Genomic DNA, 17023 nt, shown 5'->3' on the forward strand with positions numbered 1-17023 from the left:
CAGTAAATTAGTCAATCTGACCCATTTATAAGAATACATAGTACACGTTTGCATAGTTAAAGTTATTTAATGTTGTTAATGCACACTAATGCACAGACATGTTTACTCTGTTTCAGACAAGTAATACAATATCATCTGTTGGGTATAATTATCCTCATTTCACAGATAAGAAAACAGAGTCTCAGAAAAAGTAAATAAGACCTATTTTCTTTCATCATCTTTGGATCATCTGCAGTATTAAAGAAAATACTACTGTTACAAGGAGAGCCTGGAGAAAAAAAATCTTAGTCACACAGGAAACTGAAAAACCATCTTCAAATATATGAAGAGCTATTGTGGGGAGCACAAATTAACCTTTTGTTTCTGTTGCTTCAGAGGGCAGAAGTGATAGCAGTAGGTGGAAGATCAATCTATGCAAAATATGTTTCACTCTTTTGAAGAATTTGCTGTTTTCATTTCCCATTGTATCCCCAGTGTATAGCTCAGTGCTTGACATACTGAGATCTCAGCTCTCATTAGATATTCATTGAATAAATAAATGAATAAAGCCAATTATAAGAGCTATCCAAAATGAAACAGGCTGCTTCAGGAGCACTCCATCCTGGCCATGACCAAGAAGAGCCTAAGCCAAGCATCTGATGGAGGGTTCGAATAAATGCATATTGTATGCAGGAAGGGATGGTTCAAAAGGGCCTTGACAACATACAAAGTATTATAGAAACTAACAGTCATGGCCAGGCATGATGGCTCATGCCTGTAATCCTAACACTTTGGAAGGCCGAGGCAGGTCGCCCGAAGTTCAAAACCAGCCTGCCTGTGCAACATGGTGAAACCCCATCTCTACAAAAAATACGAGAATTTGCTTCACGTGGTGGCACACGCCTGTGGTCCCAGTTACTCAGGAGGCTGAAGTGGGAGGATCCCTTGACCCTGGGAAGTTGAGGCTACAGTAAGCCATGATAGTGCCACCGCACTCCAGCCTGGGTGACAGAGCAAGACCCTGTCTCAAAAAACAAAACAAACAAATAGATCACAATATCTATCATTTGATAACTTATTATGTGCCAACCACTGTGAAAAACTAAAGTCTCATTGGAAAATGACTACTATCTTCCAATATTTGAAGATGCTAGAGTCTAAAAAGCCCAAGTTCAAATCCTGACTCAACCATCTACTCATTGTTTGACTCTGGACAAATTTCCCAAATCCTCTGTGCTTCAGTTTTGCCACATGCAAATTGATAAAATGGGAATAAATAATTCCACAAGGTGACAAGAATGTAGCCAAAAATCTTCCACAAGGCCCAGTATATTTTTGGCAACACATTTCCTTCTTTCCCTATAATAATCACACACTATAAGGAGCTGTATCTGATTGTTGGAATTCACCAAAGATTAAATGTCTTGTTTTATGAGCTTGCTTCCTTGTAAAGGTAGCTTCATGAGCTTCACATCCCTGGATGTGTTTATGAAGAGATTGGACAGGTATATGCAAATAGCAACACTTATAGAATGCTTGCTATGAGCTAGGCACTGCTGTGTGTGTTTTACAGATAGATATTCATCCTGCCAATCCACACATTTTACAAATGAGGAAACTAAAAGCGACTAAGTAATTTGTGTAAGATTATATAGCCAGTAGGTGCCAGGAATGTGAACCAAGGGTGTCTTTGCTCTTAACCACTTCACCAACTGCATATAAGCAATAGTGACAAGGACATTCCACTATTTGTTGGGTGGGTGCTGGTGCCAATGACATCCCTTCCAGCACAGAGATCCATGGGCCCATAATCTCAGTACAGTGTGAACAGCTAAAGGGATTCAACTGTGACAGACTGAAAAACCAATGTAAAACAGGAGGCAAGAGATGCCCACACCTGGAGTGGCCAAAGGAGCAGAATGTTCCAAGCCTGGACAGCATATCACTGAGAGATGGAGATGCTCAGGCTGGGAAAAGCACTGGCGTGAGGAGGCGGGGCAGCCAGCCAGACATGTTTCCTACAGCTAGGCCCTAGGTGTCACCAGTGTGACAGGGCCACCAGTCATCCCTCCATTCTTTTGTACTTTCATTTACACATTTCATTTCGTGACAGGAAATAACACTGTCAGCAGCACAGTTGCTCACGGCATGTGCTGCAGGGGAGCTGACGCACGGAGGGTGGAAAGGGTGGAGGTGGGACAACGGGTGTTTGTGCCAGCATGTCATATACCGTCCTGACCTGCTGCATGCTCTTCCTTGCCCCGGGGCAGGTCTGGCAGCTGCTTACACAAGGCTCAAGTTGTTTGGAGTGGGGGAGGGAGAGGGGACCCACATCACCTATTTGCAGCTTTGCTTTTAAAAGTCGGTATCACCGATTTAGATTTGGGGTTTGGATTTTGAGGGGAACAAGAGGATTATTAGGTCCTAATATGACTTTTCTTCTCTTGCTCCCCTCTGCCTTCGGAAGTATCTAGATGTAATATCTCGTGCTAACCACAAGTTGAGAGTGGTAAAGTCATTCTGCTGGAGAAAATAGTAAAAATAATACTGACTTCCATGTTCATATTCAGTTTGTTTCTAGGAAAGACAAACATCAGTGGCGTTTAAATAAAAGATTTTTCAGCTGGGTGCAGTGGCACATGCCTGTAATCCCAGCTACTCGGGAGGCTGAGGCACAAGAATCACTAGAACCTGGCAGGTGGAGGTTGCAGTGAGCCAAGATCACACCACTGCACTGCAGCCTGGGTGACAGAGCGAGACTCTGTCTCAAAAATAAATAAATAAATAAGTAAAATATTTTTGTATGATTAGCCCATGTTATATATACTCAACCTTAGTCAAACTTTGTATTGACACCCTCTCCACCCTGCCACCACAGATTATTTGCTGGTCAAAAGAGGAAAATAGTTACAGGCCAGAGCAAGGAAGGGAACTGTTTCAGACCACGAGAGACTTAAAATGCACAATAATCAAGTACAACATGTAGTCTTTGACTGGATCTTTATCTGAGTGGATCAATGGAAGACACATTTGGGATCAAATGAAGAAATTTCAATATGGACAAGGAATCAGGTGCTTTAAGGAATTATTGTTAATCTTGTTAGCTATTGTCTTAGTTCATTTTGGGTTGCTATAAAAGAATACCCGAGGCTGGGTAATTTATTAAGAAAAGAGGTTTATTTGGCTCATGTTTCTAGAGGCTGTACAAGAAGCATGGCATTGAGCATCTGCTTCTGGTGGGGACCTCAGGCAGTTTTCATTCACGGTGGAAGGTGACAGGGAGCAAGAGAGAGGGAAGGAAGGTGCCAGGCTCTTTTTAGAAATCATATCTCAGAGGAACTAATAGAGGGAAAAGTCACTCATTGCCACCGTGAGGGCGGCAGAAAGCCCTTCATGAGAGATCTACCCCCATGATCCAAAATTGAGGATCAAATTTCAACATGAGATTTGGAGGGGACAAGTATCCAAACTATATTAGGAATATTAATGATGTTATATAAAGAAAAGAAATTTTAATCCACATAATTGTTTAGGAAAAAAAAAGAAAAAATTTTTTTAAAAAATATGTGTTTTCATATGTTTATTTCAGCACTATTTACAATAACAAAGACTTGGAACCAACCCAAATGCCCATCAATGATAGCCTGGATAAAGAAAATGTGTCACATATACACCATGGAATACTATGCAGCCATAAAAAAGAGTTGGTTCATGTCCTTTGCAGGGGCATAGATGAAGCTGGAAGCCATCATTCTCAGCAAACTAACACAGGAACAGAAAACCAAACACCTCATGCTCTCACTCATAAGTGGGAGTTGAACAATGAGGATACATGGACACGGGGAAGGCAACTTCACACACCAGGGCCAGTCAGGGGTGGGGGGCAAGGGGAGGGAGAGCATTAGGAGAAATACCGAATGTATGCGGGGCTTAAAACCTAGATGACGGGTTGATAGGTGCAGCAAACCATCACGGCACATGTATACCTATGTAACAAGTCTGCACATTCTGCACATGTCTCCCAGAACTTAAAAGTAAAATAAATTTTAAAAAAGAAGAAAAAAATGTGTGTTTTTAGATGTTCCCACTGAAGTATTAGGGGCAAAAGATCATGACATCTGTTTTCGTTTTTGAGATGAGGTCTCATTCTGTCACCCACACTGGAGTGCACTGGTGCAATCATGGCTCATTGCAGCTTCAACCCCCCAAGCTCAAGCGATCCTTCCACCTCAGCCTCCCAAGTAGCTGGGACCACAGGCATGAGTCACTATGCTCAGTTAATTTTTTTTTTTTGTAATTTTTGTAGAGACAGGGGTCTCATTATGTTGCCCAGGCTGGTCTCAATCTCCTAGGCTCAAGCAATCCTCCTGCCTCGGCCTCCCAAAGCGCTGAGATTACAGGCCTGAGCCACCATACCTGGCAACATCTTTACTTTAAAATACATTAGCAAAAAATAATACATGAATAATAAATAATAAATATGGTAATATGTTGGCAATTGTTAACTCTAGGTTATGGATAAGTGGGTGTTCATTATACTATTCTTTTTTTTTTTTTTTTTTTTTGAGACAGAGCCTCACTCTGTCACCAGGCTGGAGTGCAGTGGCATGATCCCGGCTCACTGCAACCTCCACCTCCCAGGTTCAAGAGATTCTTGTCCCTCAGCCTCCTGAGTAGCTGAGACTATATAGGCATGCGCCAGCTAATTTTTGTATTTTTAGTAGAAATGGAGTTTTGTCATGTTGGCCAGGCTGGTCTCAAACTCCTGACTTCAAGAGACCCAGCCGTCTAGGCTTCCCAAAGTGCTAGAATTACAGGCATGAGACGCCGCACCCGGTGTCTACTATTCTATTTTTTATTAGTTAAATTTTTCTTAGTACGGAGTTAATCTGTTAGAAGACAGTCACTAATTCTTTATTTTTCACTTGAATGCCTTTGTCTATTTTATTTTTGCATTTTTATCTTTTCCTTCATTCATTCCCTTTCACTGAACAGATAATGTGGTATATGAGAGTCATAAATTGTGGAAAGGGTCTCATCTCACATTTGACTGAAATTTAACAGCTAAAATTGTCTTTGATCATATCCCACTCCACACCACTTGGAAAGAAAAGTTAAATGTGCTCTAAAAGAGACTTTAAAATTTTTTTCTTTTCATTTTTTTGAAATTATTGCAAACTTACAAAAGTTGCAAGGATAGTTAGAAAACTCTCGTGTACCCTTCACTCAGATTCATCAGTTGTTAACGCTTTGCTACATTTACTTTTGTTGTTTGTTTTTTCTTGAGACAGGATCTCGCTCTGTTGCCCACGCTGGAGTGCAGTGGCACGATCACAGCTCACTTCAACTTCTGCCTCCTGGGCTCAAGCCATCCTCCTGCCTCAGCCTCTTGAGTAACTGGGACTACAGGCACATGCCAAAATTCCCAGCTAATTTTTGTATTTTTTGTAGACACAGAGTTTTACCATGTTGCCCAAGCTGGTCTCGAACTCCTGGACTCAAGCAATCCACCTGCCTTGGGTTCCCAAAGTGCTGGGATTACAGGCATGAGCCATGGTGCCCAGCCTACATTTACTTTTCTAAATTGATCTCTTTCTGTCTGTCTTCACAGTTATATGTTGTTGTTGTTGTTTTCTGAACTATTTGAAAATAAATGGCAGACTTCACTCCCTTTAACACTTAAATACTTCAGCGTGTAACTCTTGGAAACAGAATTTTTTTAACATAACCACAACGTAATCATCAAATTCAGAAAATTTAGCACACAGTCCATATTTCAAACTCAGTTGGCTCAACAATAGCCTTTATAGAATTTTCCCAAAATCCAGAATTCAAGACCCAAGCGGAATTCAGGAATTGCATTTAGTTGTAATGTCTCTTTAGTTCCTGTTAATCTGGAGCAGTTCCTCAGCCTTTCTGTCTTTTGTGACATGAATGTTGAACAGGACAGGACAGTGGTTGTGTACAATGTCCCTTAATTTAGGCAGAAAAACTCATAACTCTATCTTATAATTGCAAGGTTTTGTCAATACAACCTTTCTCTTTTCCAAGAATAACTAAAATTGTTTTTATAGCAATAGAGAAAAATTGAACTGTTAAGCCGTGAAAGTATACATAAAGTATATTCTCCAGGAGGAGTTTCAGACATGCTCTGCTAATAAGTGAAATTTGTTAAATAAATTTACATGACAATATCAGGTTTAAGCTTGGCAAAAGGTAACTGATAGCTATAATTCGATATTAAAACATATTACCAGCCTGGGTAACATAGACCTCATCTCTACAAATAATAATTTTTTTAAAAACTAGCCAGGCATGGTTGTGTGCCTGTGGTCCCAGTTACTTGGGAGTCTGAGGTGGGAGGATTGCTTGAGTCCGGGTGATTAAGGCTGCAGTGAGCTGTGATTGTGCCACTGCACTGCAGCCGGGGTGACAGAGTGAGGCCCCATCTCAAAAACAAAACAAAACTACTACCAAGAGAATCTCTAGTGATCTCTAAAAGTCTGGCTTTTCTTTTGTTTAATTAATTAATTAATCTTCTTTTTTTTTTGAGACGGAGTTTCGCTCTTGTCACCCAGGCTGGAATGCAATCAATGACGTGATCTCGGCTCACCGTAACCTCCACCTCCCAGGTGCAAGTGATTCTCCTGCCTCAGCCTCCTGAGTAGCTGGGATTACAGGTGCATGCCACCAAGCCCGGATAATTTTTGTATTTTTAGCAAAGACAGGGTTTCATCATGTTGGCCAGGCTGGTCTCAGACTCCTGACCTCAGGTGATCCACCCGTCTCGGCCTCCCAAAGTGCTGGGATTATAGGCATGAGCCACAGCCCTGGGTCTGTTTATCTTTTTTTTTTTTTTAAGTGGGTCTCTTTCTGTTGCCCAGGCTGGAGTGCAGTAGCACAATCTCAGCTCACTGCAACCTCTGCCTCCTTGGTTCAAGCAATTTCCCTGCCTCAGCCTCCCAAGTAACTGGAATTACAGGCACATGCCACCACAGCTGGCTAATTTTTTGTATTTTTAGTACAGACAAGGTTTTACCATGTTAGCCAGGCTGGTCTCGAACTCCTGACCTCAAGTGATCCACCTGCCTTAGCCTCCCAAAGTGCTGGGATTACAGGCATGAGCCACCGCACCCGACTGTTTATTTTTAATTTTTAGAATAGCATAAATATTTTCTTATCTAGGATGTGCAAGGTATGTATATACAAAAGCAAGAGAACCAAATTTAACTTATCTTCCAGAATTGAATTAGTACCTCGAAGAAACCTTAGAGATCATCCAATTCAACTCCTTATTTTATAGAAAATGAGAACAAGACACAGACTGTATCCAAAGGAAATATTTGAAGAAGTCAACATGGATGTTTTGCACTAGGATGTTCACCCAACAATGTTTATAATAATAGGGGAAGGGGAATTATCTCAATATCCCGTCATGGAAAGTTGTTTTAAAAATTATTTTGTTGGCCAGGCGCGGTAGCTCACGCCTGTAATCCCAACACTTTGGGAGTCCAAGGAGGGTGAATCACGAGGTCAGGAGTTTGAGACCAGCCTGGCCAACATGGTAAAACCCCATCTCTACTAAAAATACAAAAAATTAGCTGGGCGTGGTGGCAGGTGCCTGTAGTCCCAGCTACTCGGGAAGCTGAGGCAGGAGAATTGCTTGAACCTGGGAGATGGAGGTTGCAGTGAGCCAAGATCATGCCACTGTACTCCAGCCCAGGTGACAGTTCGAGACTCTGTCCCAAAGAAAAAAAAAAAAAAGAAAAGAGAAGTAAAGAAAATCATTTTATCAATACAATAGATTATCTGTAGCCATTAAATGATGTAAATGTATGTTAAATGAAACTTACTAATCATATATGAAATAGAAAAGCAAATTCTAAAATAGCATGTATAATATAATCCCATTTTTCTAAAAGTAAATGTGTATGGGTGTGTGTGACTGCAGAAAAATGTCTAGAGAGAAATTACTAAAATATCACTAGTGATGCCATCTAGGCAAAACTAGAATTGGTTTTAACTGACTTTTTAAAAAATCTTAGTAAAGTGTGAATTTTTACATCAATTCTTAAACAGGAAAAATAAAGTTATTTTCATTTCAAGAAGCAAAAATATTTTTATTTTGACTCTCACTGATAAATATTAACCACCATCAAAAGTGTGTTGGGGCTGGCCATGGTGGTTCACACCTGTAATTCCTGCAGGTGGCAGGAATGCCCACCTTTGGGAGGCAGAGGTGGGCAAATTGCTTGAGTCCAAGAGTTCAAGATCAGCCAAGGCAATATGGCAAAACCTCATGTCTACAAAAAATACAAAAATTAGCCAGATGTGGTGGCATATGCCTTTAGTCCCTGCTACTCAGGAGGCTGAGGTGGGAGGATCGCTTGAGCCCGGAAAGAGGAGGTTGCAGTTAACCAAGATCATACCACTGCACTCCAGCCTGGATTGCATGGGAGACCCTGTCTCAAAAAAGGAAACAAAGTGTGTTGGACAGTATTTTGAAATTGTTACTAGAGGCATTATTCTTTTCTTTTTCTTTTTCTCTTCTTTTCACTTTTAAGACAAGGTCTCACTTCATTGCCCAGGCCAGAGTACAGTGGTGTGATCGTGGCTCACTACAACCTCTCGGTCTCAAGTGATCCTCCCACCTCAGCTTCTGGAGGGTAGCTGGTACTACAGGGGCACCACCCTGCCCAGCTAATGTTTTTTAAAAAAAACATAAGTTGTACAGACCAGGTCCCACTATGTTGCCCAGTCTGGTCTCAAACTCCTAGCCTCAAGTGATCCACCTGCCTTGGTCTCCCTAACTGTGGAAGCATTATTCTTAATTTCCAAGATCAGAACTCCATTAATGATAACATGGAAGGTCAGGTGAGGTGGCTCACGCCTGTAATCCCAGCACTCTGGGAGGCCAAGGCGGGTGGATCACTCGAGGCCAGGAGTTCGAGACCAGCCTGACCAACATGGTGAAACCTCATCTCTACAAAAAAATACAAAAATTAGCCAGGCATGGTGGTACATGGCTGTAACCCCAGCTACTCGGCAGGCTGAGGCATGAGAATCACTTAAACCTGGGAGGCGGAGGTTACAGTGAGTGACAGAGTAAGACTATCTCAATAAATAAATAAATAAATAAATAAATAAAACACAAGAGAACAACAGTGGACTTGGCAATGGAATTATACCACTGGGATTCAAATTTGAAAAGAAAGCAGAATGTGTCTGATTCATTCGAGAAATACTTGCAATAGGGAGTTTTTTTGTATGGATGTAGGAATGTAGGAATGGATGGATGGATGTAGAGATGAATGGACAGATGACTGGATGAATGGATGGATAGATATGCTTAAATATTTATGAACATACATCACATATTATTCTCTAAATGACTAGAGATGGCTGGAAGGAGAGATGGATTGCTAGAATGACCCTAGGTTTTCATCCTTTAGTATTCATAGCCAACTTTGACAGTAATCATATTTCTTTGTGTTGTAACACCCTCTTAGAGAAAGAAAGGAGAACTTTAGGGCTTTGCTCCTCTGAACCTCTGTCCAATCAATATGCTTTTTTTTTCTTTCTTTCTTTTTTTTTTTTTTTTTTTTTTTTTTTTTTTTTTTTTTGAGATGGAGTCTAGCTCTGTCACCCAGGCTGGAGTACAGTGGCACTATCTCGGCTCACTGCAAGCTCCACATTCCAGGTTCAAGCTATTCTCCTGCCTTAGTCTTCCAAGTAGCTGGGACTACAGGCACCATGCCAGGCTAATTTTTGTATTTTTAGTAGAGATAGGGTTTTACCATGTTGGCCAGGCTGGTCTGGAACTCCTGACCTTAGGTGATCCACCCACCTCAGCTTCCCAAAGTGCTGGGATTACAGATATGAGCCACCGTGCCCGGCAAGTCAATACTCTTCTATCATAAAATGCTCTCACCCAGCTTTGTGGCTTCAAAGAATGGATGGAGGTGTGGTAAATGGTGACAATTACAACTATTTGAGGAGTTCTTAGCCTCTATAGAAGGCACGGGGCCTCTTTAAAATCTGAAGAAAGCTAGGGCCCATCCCTCTAGAAAAAATGAGCACTATATTCTGGCATATTCAGAAGACTCATGAGACCCCAGAGTCCGTCCTTTGATTTCATTGAGGTTCATGAACTCTATGTTAAGGACTCCTAAGATAAGTTGCAGTAAGAGATGACCGGAGCTGGTAATGACAGGCAGAACTGGCCATGGATGTTTTGGAGGTCAAGCCCATGTATTCCTCTTTGACACAGAGGATCCCGACTACCTTGAATGGAGCTGAAGTAACTGGATACTTCCAATTAGAAGGAAGAGGCTGGAAGTTAATATTTTTTTTGGTAAATACTTTGAGTTATAACAATACCTTTCAGAATAAATAATTCACCACAATCCCAAGAGTTGAATTAAGGACAAGAGTCCATGATTCCTCACAAAGAAATGGAAGAAATAAAACTAAAGATGTATTCATTTATTCAACAAGTCTATATTGAAATCTCACTGTGTGCCAGGCCCCATTCCAGGAGCTGAAGACATAACAAAGAACAAAATAGACACAGTGTCTGCCATGTGGAGCTCACTTTATTGTTGAGGTAGGGGGAGGAAGACAATAAACAAATAATTACGTTACATAATGTCATAGTGTAATAAGTGCCCAAAAGAAAAATACAACAGGGTAAAGAGAAAGAGAGCAACCAGGAGGCTGCGTGACAGGGAGCAGTGAGGGAATGCCTCACTGAGAAAGACATTTGAACAGATGCCAGAATGGAGTGAAGGAATGAGCGGTGCAAGCATCTGGGGAAAGGATTTTCCAGGAAAAGAAAAAAAAAAAGGAATTGCAAATGCTCTGGAAAAGGAATGTATCCCATGTGTTTGAGAAACAGCTAGGAGTCTGCTGTGGTTGGAGGTAGGTGAGCAACGGAGTAGGGAGATAGCTGGGAGGTATCCTGGGGTCAAACCATGTAAAGGTTTGCAGGCCACAGGAAGGGCTTAAAATTGTCTTCAGCCATGTGTGGTGACTCACGCCTGTAATTCCAGCACTTTGGGAGGCTGAGGTGGGTGGATCACTTAACGTTGGGAGTTCAAGACCAGACTGGCCATATGGCGAAACCCCCTCTCTACTAAAAATACAAAAATTAGCCAGGAGTGGTGGCAGGCACCTGTAGTCCCAGCTACTCCAGAGGTTGAGGCAGGAGAATCGCTTGAACTTGGGAGGTGGAGGTTGCATTGAGCCAAAATCGCGATGCTGCACTCCAACCTGGTAGACAGAGTGAGACTCTGTCTCAAAAAAAAAAAAAAAAAGCATAAATGTTATATTTTGTCACAAGAAATAAAGGTAGATCCATGTGGGACAAAAAAAAAGAAAAGAGAAAAAGAAAAAAAGTTGTCTTTTAGGAGTTGTGGGAAGCCATCAGAAGGCTTTCAGCAAGGGAGTATCATGATCTGACTTATGTTTTATGAAGAGTCACTCTGGTGCTATGTGAAGAGAAGACCGTCAGAGGAGGACAGTGAAGGCTGAGGGACAGGAAAGAATGCTTATTTTCCATTTCCAGATAGTAACCAGTGATTTTTGGTGGCTCTAGGAAAAGGACATAGATACAAAAATTATTTGGATAAAACCGCGTTCTTTAGTCCAGTTCTTTCCATTCAGTATGTTACGAACATCCAGCTGGTAGGTCCTGGAAACCAGTCAGCAATCACCCCACTCAACATTAGCTTTTTTTTTTTTTTTTTGAGACAGAGTTTTGCTCTTGTCACCCAGGCTGGAGTACAATGGCGCAATCTTGGCTCACTGCAACCTCTGCCTCCTGGGTTCAAGTGATTCTCCTGCCTCAGCCTCCCAAGTAGCTGGGATTACAGGCGCCCACCACCACGCCCAGCTAATTTTTGTATTTTTAGTAGAGATGGGGTTTCACCATGTTGGTCAGGCTGGTCTCGAACTCCTGACCTCAGGTGACCCACCCGTCTCGGCCTCCCAAAGTGCTGAGATTATAGGCGTGAGCCACCACACCAGCCTAGCTCTTATCTTTTTTGTGCAAGTAATTTCTTGTCTTTTCCTCAATCTTCCCACTGCAAGGTAGGGATAGTAGCTAAGATATAGCCAACAAAGCCCTGGACTTGGATTCAGAAGACCTGGTCTGACAACAAAAACCTGTATAGATTGGGTAAGTCATTTAACCTCTCTGGACCTCAGATTCTTCATAAGATGAAAAATAATGCTAAACTTTTCACAGAGAAGTTATGAGAAGTAAAATTCAAAACTGTATTTGAAAGAACTTTGAGAACTGCAAAGGGCTATGCAAACAGAAAGAATGATTACTGAAGCCTGACTCAGCTCCTGTTAAATCTTAACCCAGCTCAGACCTGGCAATCACTAAAGGAAAGAAGATGGGGACAAAAATATTTCTCCCATTACTCTCTTGCACTTAGCTCTGGAGATGGTTGGCCGGAGGGCAGGCTAAGATTTTTCAGGAAAGAGAAAAAGGAATGGGAGAGACAGTGGGAACCTGAGTACTGGAGGGAAATGGGAGAGAAAACACAAGAAAAAAGCTGATTCTGGATAGTAGACAGTGGTGCCACTGCCCAGATTGCCTTTTAAGGCTTGCAGTCAATAGATAGTCTCTAACTACCAGCTATGTCAGGGTCTGACAGTGAAGAATGCACTGGCCAGGGAAGAATGCAGTGAACTGGGAAGAATGCACTGGCCTGGGAAGAATGCACTGAACTGGGAAGAATGCACTGGCCTGGGAAGAATGCATTGGCCAGGAAAGAATGCAGTGAACAAGGAAGAATGCATTGGCCTGGGAGCCCTGTCCTGAGATACAGACCACAGCGGCTCTGCCTGAGGCCCAGAATTCAGGAAAAGGCAAATCCAGACACAGAAAATGTTTCTATTCTTGAGAATGAACTGCTGGCCCTTCCAGAATGAAAGGGGCCCAATGTAGTCAACTTCTTCCCTAGTCTCTGTTGCTGGCAGCTGCACGTTTTGTAGTGGCAGTCTTGGTAAATGGGAATCCACAATGCTTGTTCCATGAGTGACCTCAATCTCTGCTACCACGGTCACTTGATTCGTGTGTCTATCATGCCAACACTGGGGTGGCCAATGACAGAGATGTCTGTCAGTCAACTGGCTAGGACATTTTGGCTACTTGGTTTTTAGTGACTCTTTTGAGGGTGCTCTCTGGTGGATGTTCACATTTTATGCACTTTATGCTCATTCCCGTATGTCTATCCACATCCCTCTCCCCTAGACCTCCAATCTTTTTCCCTCCAAGTCCCAAATCAGCTGACCAGACCATTTGCCATTGCTCATGAGTTTGTATATATCCTAACCTCAAGCTACTTCTCTTTCCACACAAAGTGGTTAGCCAAGTGCCCTCCTCAAAGCACTGCCTATTGGGAGGATTTTCCCCTGCCACTGTCTCTCAAGACCACCTTTGAGCAGACTGTGGAGAAGCTACCATCCACTTCCAGCTTGCACTCATACATAGGGCAGAGCAATCTACAAAGCAAGCTCAAATTTCTCTTTTTTCAACTTGCAATGAAGAATCCCCCATTCAGCTATGAGGGCGCAGCAATGGGAAAACAGTGGTAGGTACATTGGCAGTCTGCGCTGCTGCTCATGCAGCTTACTTCTGCCCTCTGGTCCTGCTTCTCTTCAGTCCGGCAGCACCTTCATTTTAGGATGAATTCCTGCTGGTGTCCCCTTATCTTATAACTTGGTTGATTTGCCCCAGATCACAATGAGAAGTTTCACTGCCTGGTCACTTGGCAACCATTGGCAGGCTTTCTGTCTCTACCAGAGCCTTGTAGCATGGTAGGAGTAGTTTTTCCAAAGGCATGTGATTCTCCACCAGAGATGGCATAGCCTTGCTCCAGATTCCCAAGGCCTTGAGTTGTGATTCTTCCACTGGCACTTGCCACAAAACCCATATAGCATCTTTCTCTCTTTTTAATCTACCTATCTGCACACTGAACACATAGCATCTTTTCTCATAACTGATACCTCCAATGCAAGTGTATCTGCAGGATCATATGGCCCAAGCGACAGGGCCCAGACCTGCTGCGGAGCCTTTTCTTGCGCTAGGTCCTATGTAAGCTTGGCAGTCTTTCATGTCACTGAGTATATGAGCGGGAGCAGTAATCAAAATATGCACATGGCTACAAATTTTCATCTATTTTTGCTAAACATAATGTGAAGGTGGTTGAAAGCTGGATGCCCCAGGAAGAAGTGCATCAATTTACATGTAAGATCTCGGCTCTGAGGGAAGGAAACACTAGAGAACCCTCCTCTCAAAACCACCTATGATTGCTTTTTCCTGAGGCATGCAAAAATCAGACTTTCTAGTTGATTAGCCAGGCATGAAGTTCTATCTTGACAAGAAGAAAGTACATCCTGTTGTCTTCTTGTCTCGATCTCAAATGTGCTCTTGCCAGATATTAATACATTGCCTTTCTTTAAACACAGGAAGTGGGTAAGGCAAATTTTCTCAAAGGCTCAGAACGGCACAATATTTCTCCCCTTTGCTTACATGCAGAAGATATCTGAGAATATATCTAGCCAATATGTGTAAAGTTTTCATTGACTCAAGCAAGCAGAAGAGTTCAGACAATAATAAGGCATCCTAATTGTTCTAGTGTAAAAAAAAGCTCTGCACTTATTTGCGGTTATTTTTTAAAAATCCACTTTGGAAAATGTGCAGAAAATTTCAGGCTTGGCTAATGCTCTTTTTCCATCTCATGTCCTTTAGCATATGACTCAAGTTTTCCATGTTATCATAAGGTAATTTTGCTATCTTTCATTTATTAGTGTTTATTATTAATTACTTATTATTATAATATAATGCCAATATAATCACACTTAATACTTAGAAAAATCTAGTAAAGGAGGCTGTGTCAGGGATCTACAGGACCACTCCCAGGTTAGTGATTTGCTAGAAATCTAAATATAATGACATTCATGGCTAAAATTTATTACAGTAAATAGATGCAAAGAAAAATTAGCAAAGGGAAAAGGCACATGGGCGAGGTCCAGAAGTAACCAAGCACAAGCTTCCAAGAGCCATCTCCCAGTACGGTCCCCTCCCAGTACAGTCCCCTCCCAGTAGAGTCCCAAAGGACATGCTTGATTCCTCCAGCAATGAGTTGTGACAACACATGTGAAATGTTGTCTACAAGGTGAGATAGGAGGTGGGACTCTGGAGGTGATGCTCAGAAACTGGACCAGATTGAGGACTAGCTAAAACAGGGAAGAGATAAAAATACCTCTCTGTAAGACATGCCCACAAGAGTGCCATGTCAGTTTACCATTGCCATGGCAACACCCAGAGATTTCTGCCCCTTTCCATGGCAATGACCCAATGACTCAGAAGTTACCACTCTTTTTCTAGAAATTTCTGCATAATCCACCCCTTGATTTGCATGTAATTTAAAGTGGGTATAACTATGACTGCAGAACTGCCTCTGAGCTGCCACTCTGGGCACACTGCCTGTGGGGTGGCCTTCTCCACAGAACCAGTACCTCTGCTGCTGCTGTACACTGCTGCTTCAATAAAAGTTGCTGTCTAGGCCAGGCGCAGTGGCTCATGCCTGTAATCCCAGCAATTTGAGAGGTTGACGTGGGCGGATCACTTGAGCCCAGGAGTTTGAGACCAGCCTGGGCAACATGGCAAAATACTGTCCCAACTAAAAATACAAAAATTAGCCAGCCATGGTGGCATGCACCTGTGGTCCCAGCTACTCAGGAGGCTGAGGTAGGAGGATCACTTGAGCCTGGGAGGTTGAGGCTGTAGTGAGCTGTGACCATGCCACTGCACCCAAGCCTTTGAGACTCTGTCTCAAAAAAAAAAAAAAAAAAAGGTGCTTTCTAACATGACCAGCTGGCTCTTGAATTCTTTCCTGGGCAAAGGCAAGGCAAGAACTCTCGCTGGCTAAGCCCCAGCTTTGGGGCTTACCTGCCCTGCATCAAAGGGAAGCCCATTAGGGCCTCAGTGCTGAGAATTTTTACTGGGGATGGTGGTTTATAATCTCAGTATTTTTCATTTCTAAAAGATTTATAAAGGAAAAGTAAGGATGTTCATCTATGTAGTTGTCTCTGTTAGTTTCTTTGTGTGATTGTTGGTTTTGACTTTGACCTGATGTGAAAAAATGTCCCAAGGACAGACACCAAGGAAAGCACGAGATGAGTAATCCATCAAAGCTTCTGTATGAGATGCAAGCCTTCCTCTTTCCATCTCTTCATAGGAGGAAATGGGAAGATTCTTCCCCTGAATCACAGCCCTCCAAGTGTCTACAGGATATACAGCTATTTTCACTTCAGTAGCTTCACATGGGAAAAAATCCCTGACATGGCTATCAGGTCAAAATGAATCAAGAGATAAGATATGTGTATCTGTGAGACTTTTAGACCTAAAACCAGGCTACCCATGACAACTATTTATTGGCTCTCTTAACTGTATTAAAGCACAAATACAAAAAGATAAACATGTTGTCTAAAAATAAATCAATAAATTGGTCTACTCTACCCACTTCAGCATTGCGAAGGAACTACTGTGCAACTCAGTCTACACTGTGCTGTTTCTTCTGGCACGTTTCTTGAATTTGATTTGCACAGCAGAAAAGAATCCTCTCATAGGGCATTATTTATGTATCAGCACAGCAAATACTTTGGTCAGCTACCCAATACTAATAAAACTAACGCCTGTTTATGGTTCATCTTAGTCTCACTTGTTTTCTCTTTTCAAATTGTGTTGTTGCTGTTATTGTTGCCATTGTTGTTGTTGAGACAGGGTCTTGCTTTGTCACCCAGGGTGGAATGCAGTGGTACAATCAACGGCTCACTGCAGCCTCAACCTCCCGGGCTCAAATGATCCTCCCACCTCAGCCTCCTGAGTAGCTGAGAGTACAGGTATGTGCCACCATGCCCAAAGAGTTTTATTTATTTTTGTAGAGATGAGGTCTCACTATGTTGCCCAAGCTGTCCAGCTGTCCTTAACTGGACTCAAGCAATCTTCCCTCCTTGGCCTCCCAGA

At 42.3% G+C, this 17023-nt stretch overlaps 3 annotated features.

Annotated features, from left to right (window-relative positions):
* Positions 12540-13089: an enhancer, noted in NCBI's record as "H3K27ac hESC enhancer chr9:74408684-74409233 (GRCh37/hg19 assembly coordinates)". NCBI's record gives its function as "activates a minimal SCP1, AML or CMV promoter by ChIP-STARR-seq in primed H9 embryonic stem cells {active_cell/tissue: H9 hESC(primed)}" and the evidence as "EXISTENCE:reporter gene assay evidence [ECO:0000049][PMID:30033119]".
* Positions 13090-13638: an enhancer, noted in NCBI's record as "H3K27ac hESC enhancer chr9:74409234-74409782 (GRCh37/hg19 assembly coordinates)". NCBI's record gives its function as "activates a minimal SCP1, AML or CMV promoter by ChIP-STARR-seq in primed H9 embryonic stem cells {active_cell/tissue: H9 hESC(primed)}" and the evidence as "EXISTENCE:reporter gene assay evidence [ECO:0000049][PMID:30033119]".
* Positions 14175-14264: an enhancer, noted in NCBI's record as "active region_28454". NCBI's record gives its function as "activates an Ori minimal core promoter by ATAC-STARR-seq in GM12878 lymphoblastoid cells {active_cell/tissue: GM12878}" and the evidence as "EXISTENCE:reporter gene assay evidence [ECO:0000049][PMID:35858748]".

This window comes from Homo sapiens, chromosome 9 (assembly GCF_000001405.40).
Source record: "Homo sapiens chromosome 9, GRCh38.p14 Primary Assembly".
NCBI classification, from domain to species: domain Eukaryota; kingdom Metazoa; phylum Chordata; class Mammalia; order Primates; family Hominidae; genus Homo; species Homo sapiens.